Consider the following 21,450-nt stretch of genomic DNA (forward strand, 5'->3'; position numbering starts at 1 on the left):
AGCCAGGCATGGTGACGGGCGCCTGTAATCCCAACTACTTGGAGGCTGAGGCAGGAGAATCTCTTGAACCCAGGAGGCAGAGGTTACAATGAGCAGAGATTGTGCCACTGCACTCCAGCTGGAGCAACAGAGCGAGACTCCATCTAAAAAAAAAAAAAAAATTATATAAGTAAATAAATAAATATGGTCAGAGTCACTTAAGGAAAGCCTGCAACATGAAAGAGAAAGTCTGAAACAAACAAGCAGAAAAAACAAAGATAACAAAAAGCAATCCAGAGGAAGTACAATTTAGGAAGTAGAAGGAAAAAAAACTCTTGAAATAATAACTTCAGAGAAATAAAGACAAATATTGAAGACATAAAAAAACAGATTGATTAGAGACCAAGAATGAGCTCTTGGGAACTAAGAAGATAATGCCTGCACCTAAAAGTTTAATATAAAACCTGAGTGAAGGCCAGGCGCGGTGGCTCACGCCTGTAATCCCAGCACTTTGGGAGGCAGAGGCGGGCAGATCACGAGGTTAGGAGATCGAGACCATCCTGGCTAACACAGTGAAACGCCGTCTCTACTAAAAATACAAAAAAAATTAGCCGGGCATGGTGGCGGGCGCCTGTAATCCCAGCTACTGGGAGGCTGAGGCGGGAGAATGGTGTGAACCCGGGTGGCGGAGCTTGCAGTGAGCCGACATCATGCCACTGCCCTCCAGCCTGGGTGACAGAGCAAGACTCTGTCTAAAAAAAAAAAAAAAAAAAAAAAAAAAAAAAAAAAACCTGAGTGAAAAAGTCAATGAAACTTTCCAAAAAGTGGAATAAAAAGAGACATGGATGATAGGATATAAACAAATACCAGCGGGTCCATTGAGGAGATCCAATATAACCGACAGGGATTGGAGAACAGTGTGGGGAAATGGTTAAAGAAGTAATAGAAGAACATTTCCCAGAACTGAAGTCCACAAGTCTCTAGGTTGAAAGCTTTGAGAGTGATGAGTACAATAAATGAAAACAAACTGTATCAAGGAACATCATCATGAAATGTACAATACTGGGTATACAGAAACGATCCTAACTGCTTCTAGAAAAAAAAGAGCGGGGGGATCGCTCACACAGGCTTGAGAGTCAGGACAGCATTCGACTCGCACAGAAGCACTGGAAGCAGGTAAGTAAAGCACTGGTAACTTCAAAATGCAGGGCTAGTTTTTATCCTAGAACTTTATGCCCTCTCATATTTTCAGTCAAGTAGAAGAGGAACATTTTCATACAAGCAAGAACTCAAAATGTTTCCAAGAGCAAATCACGAAAAAGGAAGATACAGCATTTGACAAAAATGCACTCCAATACAGGAAAGTGACAAAGAGAACTCCCAAGGTGACAGCTGTCTGTCAGGTTTGGAGAGCTGCCAGTCCAGACTGCAGGAGAGGGCGGACGGCATTTGCTGTCCAGGAAACAAACAGCCTGGTGTTTGACAGATCCACTGCAGAAAATAGAAAGAAAAAAACCTCTGTAGGTTCAAAGAAAACAAAGCGCTTTTCCGCGCTACCTACAGAGGGGTCCATAGGGCGTTGTTCTGGATTCCGGTCGTAACTTAAAGGGAAACTTTCACAATGTCCGGAGCCCTTGATGTCCTGCAAATGAAGGAGGAGGATGTCCTTAAGTTCCTTGCAGCAGGAACCCACTTAGGTGGCACCAATCTTGACTTCCAGATGGAACAGTACATCTATAAAAGGAAAAGTGATGGCATCTATATCATAAATCTGAAGAAGACCTGGGAGAAGCTTCTGCTGGCAGCTCGTGCTATTGTTGCCATTGAAAACCCTGCTGATGTCAGTGTTATATCCTCCAGGAATACTGGCCAGAGGGCTGTGCTGAAGTTTGCTGCGGCCACTGGAGCCACTCCAATTGCTGGCCGCTTCACTCCTGGAACCTTCACTAACCAGATCCAGGCAGCCTTCCGGGAGCCACGGCTTCTTGTGGTTACTGACCCCAGGGCTGACCCACCAGCCTCTCACGGAGGCGTCTTATGTTAACCTACCTACCATTGCTCTGTGTAACAGATTCTCCTCTGCGCTATGTGGACATTGCCATCCCATGCAACAACAAGGGAGCTCGCTCAGTGGGTTTGATGTGGTGGATGCTGGCTCGGGAAGTTCTGCGCATGCGTGGCACCATTTCTCGTGAACACCCATGGGAGGTCATGACTGATCTCTACTTCTACAGAGATCCTGAAGAGATTGAAAAAGAAGAGCAGGCTGCTGCTGAAAAGGCGGTGACCAAGGAGGAATTTCAGGGTGAATGGACTGCTCCAGCTCCTGAGTTCACTGCTACTCAGCCTGAGGTTGCAGACTGGTCTGAAGGTGTGCAGGTGCCCTCTGTGCCTATTCAGCAGTTCCCTACTGAAGACTGGAGCGCTCAGCCTGCCACGGAAGACTGGTCTGCAGCTCCCACTGTTCAGGCCACTGAATGGGTAGGAGCAACCACTGACTGGTCTTAAGCTGTTCTTGCATAGGCTCTTAAGCAGCATGGAAAAATGGTTGATGGAAAATAAACATCAGTTTCTAAAAAAAAAAAAGAAAACAAAGCAAATGAAAGAAATAAGGGAGGCCGTGCGCAGTGGCTCACACCTGTAATCCCAGCACTTTGGGAGGCTGAGGCAGGTGGATTATCTGAGGTCAGGAGCTTGAGACCAGCCTGACAAACATGGAGAAACACTGTCTCTACTAAAAAATACAAAAAAATTAGCTAGGCGTGGTGGTGGGCGCCTGTAATCCAAGCTACTTGGGAGTCTGAGGCAGGAGGATCCCTTGAACCTGGGAATCGGAGGTTGTGGTGAGCTGAGATTGTGCCATTGCACTCCAGCCTGGGCAACAGAGCAAGACACACCATCTCAAAAAAAAAAAAAATATATAAGAAATAAGGTAAAAAGTCCAAGAGGAAACAAATTTTGTACAAATGAGAAACTATAATCACAATCTATGATTTGGCTCAAAGAGTACTTTAGCATAGTCAATAATATTTACACTGACAACTGACTTAACTAAAAATTGTGATAGAACTACATAGGGAAATGAACTTGGGGCAGGGAATATAAGAGAATGAACACAGGCTGGGCGCGGTGGCTCACGCCTGTAATCCCAGCACTTTGGGAGGCCGAGGCAGGCGGATCATGAGGTCAGAAGATCGAGACCATCCTGGCTAACACGGTGAAACCCCATCTCTACTAAAAATACAAAAAATTAGCCGGGCGTGGTGGTGGGTGCCTGTAGTCCCAGCTACTCGGGAGGCTGAGGCAGGAGAATGGCGCGAACCCGGGACGCGGAGCTTGCAGTGAGCCGGAGATCGTACCACTGCACTTCAGCCTGGGTGACAGAGCGAGACTCCGTCTCATTAAAAAAAAAAAAAAAAAAAAGAGAATGACCACAATATGAAGATAATATAAAATATTTAAAATAAGTAAATCAAGAAATATCAATAAATGCCTATAGTGAAGATGCCAGAAGAAATAACTCTGAAGAGATGAGAGTGTTTGTGTTTGCAGAGCAGGAAATGGCAAGGGATGCACAGAGACTACTTTTTTTTAGTAATCTAACTTGAAAAAACTGTATATTTATTATGTTTATAAAATTAAAAAAAAATTTAAACAAAAAAGACATACCAATCATCAAAACCATGGTTTTCAAACTTGTTTTGTTAGCGGAATGCTTTTTCCCCCCAGGAAAATCTATGTATTAATAGAATAAGAGCACAGCTCAACCCCAGCATCCCCCAAGTTCTTAGAAACCACCAACTCTGAAGATTAACCTATTCAGATTCCCTCTGCCCCCATTGTAGCTACTAAATCCAACATGAGTTTGAACTTACCCAAAGTTACATGGGTTGAGTATCCCAAATCCGAAAATCTGAAATTTGAAATGCTCCAAAAATCTGAAACTCTTTGAGCACAGCCATGATGCTCAAAAGAAATGAGTGTTGAAGCATTGTGGATTTTGGATTTTTGGATTAGGGATGCTCAACAAGTATGATGCAAATATTCTAAAATTGGGGGGAAAAAGCCCAAATCCAAAACACTCCTGGTTCCAGCCTTTTCTTTTCTTTTTCTTTTTTTTTTTTTTTTTGAGGCAGGGTCTCACTCTGTCACCCAGGCTGGAGTGCAGTGGCGCCATCTTGGCTCATTGCAACCTCAGCCTCCCGGGTTCAAGCGATTCTTGTGCCTCAGTCTCCTGAGTAGCTCGGGTTACAGGCGCACGCCACCATGCCTGGTTCATTTTTTTTCTATTTTTAGTAGAGACGGGGTTTCACCACATTGACCACGCTGGTGTTGAACTCCTGATCTCAAATGATCTGCCTGCCTTGGCCTCCCCAGCACTTTGGGAGGCATGAGCCACCACGCCTGGCCTGGTCTCAGGCATTTTGGATAAGGGGCACTCAACCTGTGCAAAGTGGGGCTTAGAATCAAGGCCCTGGATTCCTCATCCGGGACTTTTTCTCTTATATGGTTCTGCTTCAGGAATTTAAAAACAAAGGGGACAAAGGCGTCAGTGAAAACTAAGGGACAGGACAAATATGGGTACCTTTGATCGTATTGGTGTAGGAGTCGGGGAAAGTGAAAAGAAGTTGAGGCTTTCACAGGAAATGGGAGATAATAGGGTCACAGGAGGAAGAGAGAAAGTTAACAAGTTGGCATGATTATGCCAGGAGTAGCAAGTAGGTTTTATCTCAAATGCTCAGCTTGATCAATTGAGAAGAACTGCTTGATGTGCTGAGTTAGATTTTGAGGCTGAATCTGGGTTCAGCCAGAATGTGTGCCTTGATTGAGTGCTGCTGTCTTAATAGAGAGGAGGCATTTTGGCAGGCATACCACTATCTGCTATTCTTGTTAAATCTATAAGCAGTCATGACTCTTGTTTGAATGTTCATTCCCTCCAAAACTTACGTTGAAATGTAACTGCCATGGTAACAGTTTTAGGAGGTGGGACCTTTGGGAGGTGATTAGGCCATGAAGGCACCTTTCTCATGGGTGAGATTAATGCTTTTATGAAAGGGCAAGTTCAGTCTCCTTTGGCCCCTTTGCCCTTCTGCCTTCCACCATGGGAGGATGCAGCAACAAAGCCCTCACAAGATGCTGGCACCTTGATCTTGGACTTCTCAACCTCCAGAACTATAAGAAAACAAGTTTCTGTTCATTATAACTGACCCGTCTGTGGTATTTTGTTATAGCAGTGTGAAACAGACTGAGACAATCTTTTTGGAGGCGTTAGTCACCAGCCTAAAGAGACAATCAGAAACAGGTGGTTCTAGTAGGTACCATAGAGTCAGAGCAGTGAGGCAGGAAAGGACTACAGCAGTGAGGCTGCTGAGCCAGCAGTGCTTGACACATCCTAGGTATTGCCGACTCTGATCCCTAAGGAATGCAGTGTTCTCTCCATTGCCCAAGCGTAACATGACACATAAGGGAGAGATGAAGACTACTTACATGAGTCCCAGAATTCAGCAAGATGTTTGTCAGTGCAAGGATTCATGCAAAACTTGACAATTACCCTCCCATACCTGTGCTATCCCATATGGTAGCCATTACCACATGTAGCCACTGAGCATGTAAAATGTGGCTGGTGTGACTGAAGAATTGAATTTTGAATTAAATTAAATTAATTAATTAATTAATTTTTTCAAGACAGAGTCTCACTTGGTCACCCAGGCTGGAGTGCAGTGGCACGATCTCGGCTCACTGCAACCTTTGCCTCCCGCGTTCCAGCAATTCTCCTGCCTCAGCCTCCCAAGTAGCTGGGACTACAGGCTGGAGTGCCACCACGCCTGGCTAATTGTTGTATTTTTTAGTAGAGACGGGGTTTCACCATGTTGGCCAGGCAGGTCTCTAACTCCTGACCTTGTGATCCACCTGCCTTGGCCTCCCAAAATGCTGGGATTACAGGCGTAAGCCACCATGCCTGGCCTTTATTTTATTTATTTATTTATTTTGAGATGGAGTCTGGCTCGTTGCCCAGGCTGGAGGGTGATCTCAGCTCACTGCAACCTCTGCCCCCTGGGTTCAAGCGATTCTGCTACCTCTGCCTCCTGAGTAGCTGGGATCACAGGCATGCGTCACCATACCTGGCTAATTTTTGTATTTTTAGTAGAGATGGGGTTTCACCATGTTGACCAGGCTGGTCTCAAACTCCTGACCACAAGTGATCCACCCACCTTGGTCTCCCACAGTGCTGGAATTACAGGTGTGAGCCACCATGCCTGGCCTGAATTTTGAATTTTAATTATTAATAATTGCCATTGAAATTGAAATTGAGACCCACTTCCACTTCCAGGAAAATGGAGTGCGTGTACTGCTCCTTATTTCTCTTGCTAAGTACAACTAAAACTCCTGGATATTACATATAAGACAAACCTCTCACTGAAAGGTGGAGAGAAGGCAGACCATTTAGGAACCTCAGTAGCTAAGGAAGTACATGGTGGAGAGTTTTCCTTCTAGAACACTCTCCACCGTGTAATTTCTTTTTACCTCAATATCCCAGACTTCGAATAGAGAAACTGGAAAATCAGAGATAGCAACAAGCAGACAAAAATGTCCCCATGAAGGACTTTCTCTAGCCAAAGGACGAGGAAAGAGGTAGAGTAGCCAGGCAGCTCTTGGACAATTACTACTGTACTCCAGGCAATCACCACAGAGAAAACTGTGGCTCCACCCAACCTGTGCCAGCAATGACTGAGTGAGGAGTAGGATTCCATCCTTGTAAGGCTACAATGAAGCACCCCGATGTTCCTGCCTAAGTGATGTCAGAGAACTCCTGGTAGGGAGCTGGGATTTTCCTCCCCATTGGCTGGTGATATCTTTCCTGCCCTGTGGGGAGCCTGGACTTCTAGTCTACCCGGTAGCTATGAGATGCCCCTCCCACTCACTGCTAGGGCAGCAGCAGAGGGGGCCTAGGAGAGTCAGGACTTCACTGACCATTGCCCACTGGCAATGAGGCCACCCCATGGGGTGAACACAGCATGGAAAGCAGGCACTCCTACCCTGGCTCAGCATTAACAAGCAGCCTCCCCTGACCCTGAACATCCAAAGAGGCTGAGTGGGGACTTTACCTTCCTAGGGAATAATGAGGCAGCATGTCCACTTTCCCTGCCAAAGCAATGTCAACAAAAGTCAGCTACAACAAAAGATCAAAAATATACAGGTTTCCATCAAGAATCATCCATCACACCAAGAACTAGGAAGATCTCAAAACTAAGTTAAAAAAAAAAACCCAATAGAAGCCAACACTGAGATGATAGAGATGTTAGAATTATCTAAAATTTAAAGTCAGCCATAACAGAAAGACTTTAATGAGCAATTACAAACACTCCTGATACAAAAGATAAAAAGTGCCAGCAAAGAAACAGAAACTAGAAGAAGGAATAAATGGAAATTTTACTTTTTTTTTTTTTTTTGAGAAAGGGTCTCATTTTTGAGAAAGGGTCTCACTCTGTTGCCCAGTCTGGAGTACAGTGGTGCAATCATAGCTCATTGCAGCCTTGAACTCCTGGGCTCAAGCGATCCCCCGTAACCAAGTACCTCAGTTTTAAAAATATATTTTAATCACTCACTTTCTTTGTCTTCCTTCCTTCCCCTCTCATCCCTTCATTCCTTCCCTCTCTACACTCCCCTCTGGCAATGAATGTTTATCTAATTACATTCTTGCTTAAGAAATCCCAGAGGCTAATCTCAAACAAACCAGGCATGAAGCCCCCACTGCAGAATCCTCCCGTTTAGGGGGAGTCATGACAATTAGTCCACCATCACCAGGCTGAAGTCAAGATAACGCCAATCATACCTTTGGACAGGTGATTACCCAAGATAGCCACCAGAACAAGACACACAGGACCCTGCACCCTGCACCATTCCCGCATGTTTCCCATACCAAGTTTCCCTTTGAAAACCCCGTGGTAAATTTTAAAATTTAAGCCGGTACTTTAGAATGCTATTGCCATCTTCTTTGTTTGCTGGCTCTCCAGTTAAAACTGCTTTTCCTCCCACCTACCCCAACTCCTGTATTCTGGCTTCTTCTTGTTTTTTTTTTTTTTTTTAAGGCTTACTCTATCGCGTAGGCTGTAGTGCAGTGATGCCATCTTGGCTCACTGCAACCTCTGCCTCCTGGGTCAAGCAATTCTTGTGCCTCAGCCTCCCAAGTAACTGGGATTACAGGTGCGCACCACCACGCCTGGCAAATGTTTTGTATTTTTGGTAGAGATGGAGTTTCATCATGTTGGCCAGGCTGATCTCGAATTCTTGACCTCAAGTAATCTGCCCGCCTCAGCCTCCCAAAGTACTGGGATTACTGGCATGAGCCACCACGATCGGCTCCAAAAATGGAAACTTTAGAACTAAAAGATTGCTGGGCATGGTGGCTCATGCCTGTAATCCCAGCACTTTGGAGGCTGAGGTGGGCGGATCACCTGAGGTCAGGAGTTCGAGACCAGCCTGATCCAACACGATGAAACCCCAACTCTACTAAAAATAAAAAAAATTAGCCAGTGTGGTGGCATGTGCCTGTAGTCCCAGCTACTTGGGAGGCTGAGACAGGAGAAAAGCTTGAACCCAGGAGGTGGAGGTTGCGGTGAGCTGGGATTGCGCCTTGCATTCCAGCCTGGGCAACAAGAGGGAAACTCCATCTCAAAAAAAAAAAACTAAACTAAACTAAAAAACTAAAAGATACAGTAACTGAAATGAAAAGCTCAGTGAATGGGTTCAAGAGAAGAATAAAAGGGTCCAAGGAAAGAATTAGTGAACTGGAAGCTAGAACAATAGAAATTATCCAATGTAAACAGATGTATCCATTTTTACAGAGAAAAATGGAGGGGAATGTGGAGGTGGGAGAGCCGAAGCGTAAGAATTATAACAAAAGATCTAGTATTTGTATCAGTAGAGTCATAGAAGTAGAGTTCGAAAGGAGAGGTGTGAATGAAAAAGCTCTGGAAATAATGCCTGAAAACTCCCCAAATCCCAAATTTGGCCATAAAAATAAACCTACAGATTCAAGAAGCTGAGTGAACCACAAACAGTAAAAACCCAAATAAATCTAAGCCAAGAATCTCCTAATTCAACTTCTGAAAAGTATGCAAAGAGAAAAGCTTGAAAGCAGCCAGAGAAAACACCTTATCTATCCATAGGGGAAAATCATTAGAATGACTACAGATTCTCTTGAGAAACCACGGAGAGCAGGAGGAAGTGGCACAGCATTTTTCAAGTGCTGAAAGAAAACTATCAATCTAGAATCCTGTAGCCAGTGGAAATACCCTTCAGGAAGGGAGGGGACATGAAGACATTTTCAGGTGAAGGAAACCTAAGAGAATGTCACCAATAGACCTCCCTTAAAAGAACGGCTAAAGGAGGTTCTCTAAAAAGAAAGAAAAAGATAAAAAGAAAAAGCCTTAGCACATCAGGAAGAAAAGAAAGAACATGGTAAGCAAAAATATCAGTTAATATGACAGACCTTCCTTCTCTTGAGTTTTCTTAAATGTTTGATAGTCAAAACAAAAAAATTATGTGTCTGATGTGAACTGAAAAAGAACAACACTGAAAAAGAAAACCATTCGAGTGGTTTTCACTCTGTGACAATAGCCTCCAATCATTTTGTACCTTTTAAGCATGACCATTGGGTTTTCACACTCATATGGGAGGTGCCTCCCTCAAACTTTGTTACATTGGCACATGACTCATCTGATGTGAACTTAGGAAAAAACTCACAATGACCCATATGCACTTCATCCCAGTGTCCAATAAGATTTTTCTTTTCTAAGGTGAATAAGCTCATTTTGTCCATTCAGTGTAGGCTTCTGCTGGAAATGGAAAATTCTCTTACAAAGGAAAAGCTTTTTTTACTGATGGAAAAAGATTTAACAGGATTAATAATATCAGCATAAGGATCACTTGAGCCCAGGAGTTCAAGACCAGCCTGGGCAACATAGGGAGTCCCTGTATCTACAAAAAAAAAAAAAAAAAAAAAAATATATATATATATATATATATATATATATATATATATATATATATATATATATATATGGCGGTGCACACCTGTAGTCCCAGCTACCCAGCTACTTGAGAGGCTGAGGTAGGAGGATCACTTGAGTCCAAGAGGTCAAGGCTGCACTGAGCCATGTTCATGCTACTGCATTGCAGCCTGGGTGACAGAGCAAGAACCTCTCAAAAAAAAAAAAAAAAAAAAAAAAAAAAACCAGCAGAGTACTACTTACGAATATTGACTTAATATCGAAGATTTTTTTATTATGCTAATTTTTTTTTTTTTAGACGAAGTCTCACTCTGTAGCCCAGGCTGGAGTGCAATGGCACGATTTCAGCTCACTGCAACCTCTGCCTCCAGGGTTCAAGCAATTCTCCTGCCTCAGCCTCCCAAGTAGCTGAGACTACAGGTGTGTGCCACCACACCCAGCTAATTTTTGTATTTTAGTAGAGACTGGGTTTCACCATATTGGCCAGTCTGGTCTTGAACTCCTGACCTTAGGCGATCCACCTGCCTTGGCCTCCCAAAATGCTGGGATTACAGGTGTGAGCCAACACGCCTGGCCTAATTTTTGTATTTTTAGTAGAGATGGGGTTTCCCCATATTGCCCAGACTGGTCTCGAACACCTGGGTTCAGGCGATCCGCCTGCCTCAGCCCCACAAAGTGCTGGGATTACAGGCATGACACATGGTGCCTGGCCTTCCCTACTTTTACAAGGCAATAAGTTAGCCTGTTCTTTAGTGGAGTGGTCCCCAACCTTTTTGGCACCAGGGACCAGTTTTGTGGAAGACAATTTTTCCATGGACGGGGAAGGGATGGTTTCAGGATGAAAGTCTTCCACCTCAGATCATCAGGCATTAGATTCTCATGAGTGCAGAGATCAACCTAGATCCCTCATATGTGCAGTTCACAATAGGGTTTGTGCTTCTATGACAACCTAATGCACTGCTGATCTAACAGGAGGTGGAACTCAGGCAGTCATGCTCACTCACCCACCACTCACCTCTTGCTGTGCAGCCCCATTCCTAACAGGCCATGGACTGGTACCAGTCAGTAGCCTGGGTGTTGGGGACCCCTGCTTTAATGGATGCTGGACTAAGACAAAGATTCCTGGATCAGAGACAAAGGACTTTATTTTTCATAGCACAGCAAGCAGCATGTTTGCATCAGTTTCCCCTTGTTCCCTAGTCCCACCGGGGCAATGTGGAAGACCCAGATGGGTTCTGCTGAGGTATACTAAGCTTGGAGAATCTTTTTGATACCAAGCAGCAAGCAAACTTGCTCTTTGTCTTGGAGAGAGACATCATCTTACCCCTTAAAGCTGCTCACTACAAATCCAATCCTGAGAAATGGCTCAGATAAAGAGCAGTCAGGCCTTGCCTTCTTGGCATATTCAGCAAAGTGTGCACGAGGGAGCTGGGGAGAAACTGCTCACATCTGCACAGGGAAATGTGGCAATAAACCTTGCAAATACACCTTACTTTTGACCTAAGAATTGCACCTCTAGGAATCTGTCCCACATAATTACTTTCACTTACACAAATGATGGTTATAAGAGGTTATTTATTCTAACATTGTTTATAATAGGAAAAGGTCAGAAACAACTAAATGTCTAGCCATATGGGACCAGTTTGATTATAATACCCTCACAATGGAATACTATGCAGTAAGAATAAAAAAATTTCTTTATGTGCTGCTATATAGAGTGCCAAGAAATATTGTCAAGTGAAGAAAACAAATGCAGAAAAATATGCATAATATTCCCTCATTTCTGTAAGAGGCAAAAGGTACACATATATATTTTTTCTTGTACATAAACTTTCATTCCTCTAAGAATGCCCAGTATATTGTTAATAATATCATTTGTTGTCTGTGGGGAGGTGAATTGAATGACTGGAAGTGAAGGAGACTTTTTTTGTATATCACTTTTATATGTTTTGATTTTTTTTTTTTTTTTTTTTTTGAGACAGAGTCTTGCTGTCTCCCAGGCTGGAATGCAGTGGCACAATCTCAGCTCACTGCAACCTCTGCCGCCCGGGTTCAAGCGATTTTCCTGCCTCAGCCTCCTAAGTAGCTGGGATTACAGGTGCACACCACCATGTGCAGCTAATTTTTGTATTTTTAGTAGACATGAGGTTTCACCATTTTGGCCAGGCTGATCTCAAACTCCTGACTTCAGGTGATCTGCCCACTTTAGCATCCCAAAGTGCTGGGATTACAGGTGTGAGCCACCGTGCCCGGCCAGTATGTTTTGATTTCTAAACCATGTGACTGTACCTATTTAAAGTATACAAACTCTTATATTTTCCAGATTTCTAATACCATCAATCTTTATCATCTATCTATCTTCTTTGAGACAGAGTTTGTCTCTTCTTCCCAGGCTGGAGTGCAGTGGCATGATCTCAGCTCACTGTAACCTCCACCTCCTCGGTTCAAGTGATTCTCCTGCCTCAGCCTCCCAAGTAGCTGGGACTACAGGAATACACCACCCACAACCGGTAATTTTTTTGTATTTTTAGTAGAGACAGTTTCACCATGTTGGTCAGGCTGGTCTCGAACTCCTGACCTCAGATGATCCACCCGCCTTGGTCTCTGAAAGTGCTGGGATTACAGGCATGAGCCACTGCACCCAGTCTATTTTTTTAAGACGGAGTCTTGCTCTGTGGCCCAGGCTGGGGTGCAGTGGTGCAATCTCAGCTCACTGCAACCTCTGCCTCCCAAGTTCAAGCAATTCTCCCTGCCTCGGCCACCCGAGTAGCTGGGATTACAGGTACCCACCACCCCACCCAGCTAATTTTTGTATATTTAGTTATTTAGTAGAGACAGGGTTTCGCCATGTTGGCTAGGTTGGTCTTGAACTCCTAACCTCAGGTGATCCACCAGCCTCAGCTTCCCAAAGTGCTGGGATTACAGGTGTGAGCCACCGCACCAGGCCTCATCAACAATTTAAAATGCAAGGTCAGGAGCTCTAACTGTCCTCTCAGTTTAACATATTATGCTGGGGAATTAGCTCTTATTCATGATTTACTTGATCACCCACCATATTTATTTGACATCCCACTTAAGCCACTCAGTAATCCTAATGAGGCATATTTTGTTCCCATTTTACGCAAGTTGGTCACAGAACCACAGCCTGATTTGGACTTCATGTGTCTACCTGGAAAGCCTACTTTTCCACACCCCAAGACATTCCTGAGACAGCCCTGTCTGTGCTGTGCAACCCTGGCTCATGTGTCACAGGGGAAGCATGGGGGAGTTACAACATGCTGAGAGAGGCAAGGACTTACAAACTCCAGTAAGACATGACACCAACTACGGGATTTGGATTCAAAATTTTAATAATAAATTGTGCCAGTAGAAGCTTTTCAAAGGTAATGATATATCAATAAATAATAGTTAAACTGAGTTCCTGAGAAAGAACCTACCACATGAAAGTATGTCAGAGCGCTGTGAGTAACAACATGGCACGACTATAAAATAGCGAGAATACTGACAGTCACGACGACAGGCACAGCAGACTTGAGTATGCCACTCACACAAATGTAAACCAGTACACAGGAATCTTTATTTTTTTAGTTTAAACACTGATAAACTTCTAAGTGTTGTTGCCTAGATATATACTAAGTAATGGATACATTATGCTAAGAACTTCAAGGAAAAATATGTGGAATAATATAATGAAAATTATGAAGCATCAGATTTTTTAAAAAGCAAAAAAGAATTGAACTTTTTACTCAAATATAAATCACTTTAAATAGGAATCATACTAATTTGAAATAAGGAATATTGTGTTTATCTCTGTGTGTGTGTGTGTGTGTGTATACACGCACATACATCTATACTTCTAAGAAAATACGTATGGCTTACTTTTTATTTCAATGTCATTTTGAAGAATCTTTGCTTTTTTACAAAGGTTAGGAATATGTATTGTTTAAACCAAGTTAAGATTTGATACTTCAAAGTACACTAAAAGAACAAAAAAAAAGTGAGAGAACCATTAGATCACTCAGTTTCCTGACAGTAACAGAAGAAAACAGGACTAAGAACATTCACTGAAGCTTTCAGTGTGGGCAGTCTGTCAGTAAAAAGGTAAGTAGTAGGGTCAGAGGTATGGCATTCCACATACCAGCTCTACCAAGAATGAAAGAGCATACGGACTACAGAAACGGACATGTGTCCGTGATTAAACTTTTTGGCATCGCTGTATTAATCCCTTTTGATGTATATAAGTTCAGTATATGACAAATGTTTCAGTTCCCCCCCCCCAAAGAATCCAATCACAACCAAGACACACACACAAATCACTTCTCAGTTACACATCTGCATTTCTTTAACAAAACAGTAAGAGATACAATCATAGCGAAGAGGTCACCCGCACAATACATTATCAGCACACTGTCTAGAACACCTCATTTAAAGACACTCAGTAAAAACGTATTCACAGGACCTGCTGTGAATGGCAAGATATGGTAATTTTATAATAGAAGAACTCTGCTCATGCAGTACTCTCCACACACCAGACGTCGGAAATCACAGCCACATCATCACCTTGCTCACACTTCCTATTATACTAGATATGCAAAAAGCCAAAAAAAGCAGCTTTTAACATTATATCATTATATCACAATTTTGAAACATGGGAAAAAATAAAAAACAAAAACCATTGTGTGGATAAAATGGTCTCCGTGACATTGAGCAGAGTGTTATCTTTTTTTTTTTTTACATTATTGCACAGAGATTTCTCATCAATGTTCTTCAGTTTTTATGTCTTTTCCTAAATGTGAATAAGTGCTATGGATAAAATACAAATGTAGAAAATAACAGCAGCATGATTTGTCAAAGTTAATCCCTATAATTTAGTAAGAAAAAATGGATATAAACAAAATAAGTGCTCTTTCTAAACTGTACTAAATTTTCAAAAATATTGTTTTAATGCAGTGAAGGTCCTGAAAAGCCTATTGAAAGCGATGCTGAGTCCTGTTTTCAAAAGTGTCCTGTTTGGGTTTTCTTGGTGAAGAGCAGAATTTCAAGTGAAGTAATCGACGGACTAATTTAAAACAAAACAGCCCTCGGCTTCCCTATTGGCCTGTGAGGGCACCGGCTCCGGGACCCTGACCTGGGAGGCAGCGAGTGGTGGGGGTGCCTGGCCCCCATCTACACGTACACAGGCTGGCAGCCTTCAGTCTGATCCACCAGATCAGAGCTTTCTAAATCTGAGCTCTCAGCCTGTGAAGCTTCTGCTCCTGAAGGCTTTGGGCATCGAAAGGGGTAGCCATTGTCATCAAAGAACCTTCGGAAGGTGAATTCGTAAAATGCGTGCTCAGGATGCTTGTTATTGGGCGAGGTGAGTGTGTCCCAGGCCTTGGTGCTACCTTCGCTGGCATCGTTCCAAGGGCTTTCTTCATCTACGGGGTCGAAATTCGAGGTGTCCATGGGGTGGCTGATGGTGGGAACGTAGGGGGCTGGCTGCTTCCGGATGTCACTGGAGAAGTCAATGGCGCTGAAGAAGGGGTGGGCCTTCAGGTCATCGGCCCCATTCCGCCCCAGGCGGTGGTCTGCGGAGCAGCACAGCTTGGTGATGAGGTCCCTGGCCTCAGGGCTCAGCTTCACCTGGGCTGGAATGTGGAGCGTGTTCTCCCAGTTGATCACCTGAGGAAACAACAGAGCCAACAGGTTAGTTTCTCCTCACATCTTGGGCAGTTCTGGGACAGCGTGTGATGACGTGACTTTCAAATATGTTTAGTTTCACAATAGGAGAGGAGTTAGAATAGACACAAGCAGCAGTTGTTGATCTCAGCAGCCACAAAAAGTCAGTGTCATTTCAGTCGATGGCTCACAGCCTGAGGCCAGGATGACCAGTCAAATACAGACAAAAAGATACTGATTTTCTTCTATCAGAAATACTGTTTAGCCAAAGAATTTTGTGCTTTCCACAAAAATGAAGAGAATGATGGTCTACAAGTTCTTTCTTTCTTTTTATTTTTTTGAGATGGAGTCTCGCTGTGTTGCCCAGGTTGGAGTGCAGTGGTGCGATCTTGGCTCACTGCAACCTCCGCCTCCTGGGTTCAAGCGATTCTCCTGCCTCAGCCTCCCGAGTAGCTGGGATTACAGGCGCCTGCCACCACACCCGGCTGATTTTTGTATTTTTAGTAGAGACAGGGTTTCACCACGTTGGCCAGGCTAGTCCTGAACTCCTGACCTCAGGTGATCAGCTAAAGTTATTTCTTTAGCTATGGCAATGGCTTTCTGCAAACCATCATGACGCTCATTCAAATACTTATTGCGGTCAAAAAACGGCCAACTGGGGTTTTGAAAAACAAACAGGAAAAACTTCATAGGGAAGAATAAAGCTGACTGACCCCATGTGACCTTACATGCTCAACTGCACAAACCAGCCATCTGGACGTTCAGTAAATGCACTTGTTGTAGAGATGTGTCTACTGTGAAGACAAAACCTAGGGGACTTCTTTATTGTTTACACTTAGAATCAGGAGGAAACAAGGCCAACATGACTGGCTACCAGCTGGGGTGATGGGACAGCGGATAAGGCATGGAAGTTAGTGGGTGTGTGGGTGGTAGGCTTGGTTTGAACCTAAGTAGTTGTTTTCATAGAGCTAAAACTGTAGAGCTCCTAGAAGAAAACATAGGGTGAAATCTTCATGAACCTGAGTTTGGCAATGATTTCTTAGACATGCCACCAAAAGCACAGGGAATAAAAGAAAAAATAAATTGGACTGCATAAAAATTTAAAACTTTTGTGCATCGAAGGACATTACTGATAGCAAAAAGGCAACAAAATGGGAGAACAGATTTCAAAACATGTATTTGAAAAGGGGTTAGTACCCAGAGAAAATACAGAACTCCTACAACTCAACAACAATAACAAAACCAAATAAGTTGATTTAAAAAGGGTAATGGACTTGAGGAGATATTTCCAAAGATATACAAATGACCAATAAGGACATGAAAATAAGCTCAATATAATTAAACACTAGGGAAATACAACTCAAAACCACAATGAGATACCACCTTACATCCCCTAGGGTGGCTACTACTTAAAAAAAACAAAAACAGGAAAATACTTATTGAGGATGTAGGGAAACTGAACACTCAGTCACTGTTGGTGGGAATGTAAAATGGTGCAGCCACTATGGCAAACAGTTTGGGAGTTCCTCAAAAAGTTAAACACAGAACGACCATATAATCCAGTGGGATATAAACCCACTTTCTGGTTTATATCCAAAAGAACCGGAAGCAGGGACTCATACAGTGGAATTATTATTCCACCTTAAAAAGGAAGCTACAACAATGGATGAACCCTGAGGACATTACGCTAAGTGAAATAAACTAGACACAAAAAGACAGATACTGCATGACTCCACTTACAAGAAGTCCCGAGGCCAGGCACAGTGGCTCACACCTATAATCCCAACATTTTGGGAGGCTGAGGTGGGTGGATAACTTGAGGTCAGGAGTTTGAAACCAGCCTGACCAACATGATGAAGCCACATCTCTACTAAAAATACAAAAATTAGCTGGTGTTGTGGCAGGCACCTGTAATCCCAGCTGCTTGGGAGGCTGAGGCATGAGAACCCGGAAGGCAGAGGTTGCAATGAGCCAAGATTGTGCCACTGCACTGCAGCCTGGGATACAGAGCAAAACCCTGTCTCAAAAAAAAAAAAAAAAAAGTCCTAAGCATAACCAAACTCACAGAGACAGGAAGCAGAAGAGAGGCGAGCAGGTGCTGAAAAGGAGAGTGGGGAGTTTCTGTTTAATGGGTTTGGGACGATTAACACATTTGAAAATAGAGGGTGGTGATGGTTGCACAATATTGTGAATGTACTTAATGTCACTGAATTATACACTAAAATAATTAAAAATGGTAAATAATTAAAATAATTATTAAATAAATGGTAATTAAAATAATTAAGATGGTAAATTTTAATTTACCATTAAAATAATTAGATGGTAAATTTTAATTTACCATTAAAATAATTAGATGGTAAATTTTAATTTACCATTAAAATAATTAGATGGTAAATTTTATGTTATGTATATTTTACCAGAATAAAAAAATCTGAATTATCATGTGGGCAATTTAGTGAGTAGCTCAGCCATTCAATTAGGGCGCAGATAATGCCAGATTCCAATTTTACTGTTCCTAGAGTGAAACTAAGCCTTACTTTAGGGTTTTTCGATTTCTCTTTTTTCTTTTTTTGAAACAGAGTCTCGCTCTGTCATCCAGGTTGGAGTGCAGTGGCGTGATCTCGGCTCACTGCAACCTCTGCCTCCTGGGTTCAAGCGATTCTCCTGCCTCAGCCTCCCAAGTAGCTGAGACTACAGGCGCCCGCCCCCATGCCAGGCTAATTTTTTGTATTTTCAGTAGAGACGGGGTTTCACTACGTTGGCCAGGCTAGTCTCGATCTCCTGACCTCGTAATCTGCCCGCCTCCGCCTCCCAAAGTGCTGGGATGACAGGCATGATCCACCACGCCCAACCTTACTAGACAGATTTTCTAATTAAAGTTATTAATTTAGGCTCCCTGGCCTAATAACCACATGCCCTGGTGGCTCACATGACCACCAGGGCATGTGAAAATTCCAAGGACTGTGTGTCAGTTGGTATGTCCACAGAAGACTGCAGATTCTTAATTTCAATTCTCAGTTCAACCCTTAGTAACTCATTTCAGAAAGCAAATGGCTGTCATTTTAAAACTAATAATTTAGTATTAAATGACTGACAATTATTTAACTACTTTGAATGAATATTAGGAATATGCACAACTAGCCTGACCACATAGCTGACAGTTTGCGAACAATGATATAATATCCAAATAAAGAAACTGCTTTCTTTAGATACAGTTGACCCTTGAACAACACAGTTTGAGGGTCACTTACACTAGCATTTTCTTCCACCTTTGCCATCCCTGAGACAGCAAGGCCAATGCCTCCCCTTCCTCAGCCCACTCCACATGAAGATGACAAAGATGGAGACCTTTATGATGATCCACTTTCAATTATTAAAATAGTAAACCTATTTTCTCTTCTTTATGATTTTTTTTCTTTAGACAGAGTCTCACTCTGTCACCCAGGCTGGACTGCAGTGGTGTGATCTCGGCTCACTGCATCCTCTGCTTCCTGGGTTCAAGTGGTTCTCCTGCCTCAGCCTCCTGAGTAGCTGGGATTACAGGTGCACACCACCATGATGGACTAATATTTTGTATTTTCAGTAGAGACGGGTTTCGCCATGTTGCCCAGGCTGGTCTTGAACTCCTGACCTCAGGTAATCTGCCCACCTTGGCCTTCCAAAGTGGTGGGATTATAGGCATGAGCCACTGCGCCCAGCCTATGATCCTCCCAAAGTAGTGGGATTACAGGCATGAGCCACTGCGCCTGGCCAGCATTTTCTGTTCTCTAGCTTGCTTTATTGTAAGAATACAGGATCTAATACATATAAAATACAAAATATGTGTTCATTGACGCTATGTTACTGGTAAGGCTTCCAGTCAACAGGCTATTAGTAAAGTTTTTGGGGAGTTGAAAGTTATGCAGATTTTTGACTGTGCAGGGGGTTTGGCACCCCAAACCCCTCATTGCTGAGGGGTGAACTATAGTTCCTGGAGTTCCGTGTGTTCTCTGCAGGGCAGGTGTGGGTGGGGGAGACAGTGGATCAGCAGCACACCTTTGCTGATCCTCACTGTTCTTGCCTGGAAATAGCAAGGTGGCAGATGGCCAAGGGTTTAATAGAATTTCAGATATTAAAATGGGTCCAATTCCATGGCTTTGCTTATCAAAATAGAAAATTTAAAAATAGATAATTTAAAAAATAATGAGATTATTTTTAAAAATCCCATCCTATACAACTGCCATTCCTACCCTACTCAGAATAAGAGGGCAAATGCTGACCAAAGATTCATGGGTACATGAGCAAATCAGATGTCTACAGCAAGCAGATGCGTGGTTCCTCTCACATTACCTTCAGCTGGGTTTCTGTGGGAGTAGGTGCCAAAAAGGGCGGCTGCCCCACCAGCATCTCGAAGAGAATCACTCCAACACTCCACCAGTCACAGAGTTGAGTGTACCCTGCAAGACAAAGTTCACTCAATCCCTACACAGGCATGAATTCTCCTCCGAGGTGAATTTCATTAAGATGCTGAACATACAGATTTCCTGTTAAGTGGGAAAGCGCGTTGAAGCATCGCACTGTGCGCAAGATGGACCTATGTAAGTACCTGGATACTACTGGGTGGGGTGGTGGGGGGCGGTGGCCATGGCCGCTTAGGTTTTTGTATTTTTAATCATTGTAATAAGAAAATACTTTTTAATTTAAAAAGATTATTTTTATTGTTAGCAAATAGTTACTAGCCAGAATTTTATGTTCTTAAAGATCACAAACAGAGGCACCAATTAAAATAACAGAACTGAAAAACATAAAGTGCTATAACCTGTGAATAGTCAGGTGAGGGTCAAGGGAGGCTTCTAAGTCAGTTTTGGATGAAGCTGAAGAATACGGAGATGAGGAGGAGGTGGGCAAAACCCACCGGACAATTCACTGTAAGCCAAACACTCCTTGTGTGAGGCCCCTACGGAGCCGGGCCTTCCTCACGGGGCTCCCAGCTGTGCTGGGTCAGGGCTGGCCTCTGGGAGGCTGTAGGCTAGGCTCGTTTACCTCTTATTTTCTCCCACTTTTCCTTCAGAGCCTCATGACCCATCAAGCCAGGATCGTCTTCATGTCACCTAATCCTTGCTAAGTATAAACTGGGATGTTAAGAGGTCAGTCTGCGGGTGCCTGCAGCTGCATATGCCAGGGTAGCCCCCTCAGGCCCCTCTGCTATCTCTCCGTCCCACCTCTTCCTGTCCAAGTTTGGCAACAGAGGCTGCAGAAAAACCCCAAGCAATGGTTTCTTGAGAATGCTGCACGTGGTAGAGGGAAGTAGACCTTCACTGGGCACCAAGGTTATTCACAACCTCTCAAGGTCGTTATTGCTATGTCTGTGGTCTGAGTAGTTAAGTAACTTGTGCTGGATTACCACAGCTAGCAAAGAAAACCCAGACTTGAACTGAGTCTGGCTGGCTCCAAAGGACTTTAAACAACATGTGATGGCAGGGGCTGCCTGTCTCTGGATTAATTACACCCCATTGTCACTGTGGACCATGCAGGATCACTGAAGGATTCCTCCTATACTGAACCAGATGTTGCATTTGACAGAATGAAGCATCCATCCAGGAGGCAAATGTTATGAGCACTAGTCATTTTACACAACTGGCACCTGCCACTTTTGCTTATGGTCTAGCAGGGAGAATGAGAGAAAAAGGATCTTCCAACGCTGTCACATAAGCACCCAGCTGCACACGGCACAACTCAGCCAGGAGCCTGAGACAGAAGTTAAAGCTAGAGCCCGGAAATGTGTGGTCTGGGCAGACTGAGCAGAGGTCCTGTGGCCCTC

At 43.4% G+C, this 21,450-nt stretch overlaps 1 protein-coding gene, 1 non-coding gene and 1 pseudogene across 8 annotated transcripts in view, besides 1 other annotated feature; 2 read left to right on the top strand and 1 right to left on the bottom strand.

The window, feature by feature from the left end:
- On the top strand, positions 1,523-2,557 carry RPSAP54 (ribosomal protein SA pseudogene 54; annotated as a pseudogene).
- LOC124903269 (small nucleolar RNA U13) lies at positions 9,607-9,705 on the top strand. The gene has a single exon (XR_007063968.1). It is a non-coding gene; the product is annotated as a small nucleolar RNA U13 (small nucleolar RNA).
- A 3,619-nt stretch (positions 9,706-13,324) lies between these two features.
- Positions 13,325-21,450, bottom strand: part of LATS2 (large tumor suppressor kinase 2) — an 88,551-nt gene continuing 80,425 nt past the window's right edge. For 5 of the 7 annotated variants that reach the window (NM_014572.3, XM_005266342.1, XM_047430266.1 and 2 more), the window contains 2 exons: positions 19,980-20,086; positions 13,325-15,653 (listed from right to left, as the gene is read on the bottom strand). In NM_014572.3, the coding sequence (NP_055387.2) occupies positions 15,159-15,653; positions 19,980-20,086 (602 nt within the window). In that variant the 3' untranslated portion in view covers positions 13,325-15,158. The remainder of the gene's footprint in view (positions 15,654-19,979; positions 20,087-21,450) is intronic. The other 2 variants (XM_017020542.2, XM_047430267.1) reach the window with 1 other exon arrangement.
- Positions 15,911-16,412: an enhancer, noted in NCBI's record as "H3K27ac hESC enhancer chr13:21549761-21550262 (GRCh37/hg19 assembly coordinates)". NCBI's record gives its function as "activates a minimal SCP1, AML or CMV promoter by ChIP-STARR-seq in naive H9 embryonic stem cells {active_cell/tissue: H9 hESC(naive)}" and the evidence as "EXISTENCE:reporter gene assay evidence [ECO:0000049][PMID:30033119]".

This window comes from Homo sapiens, chromosome 13 (assembly GCF_000001405.40).
Source record: "Homo sapiens chromosome 13, GRCh38.p14 Primary Assembly".
NCBI classification, from domain to species: Eukaryota; Metazoa; Chordata; class Mammalia; order Primates; family Hominidae; genus Homo; species Homo sapiens.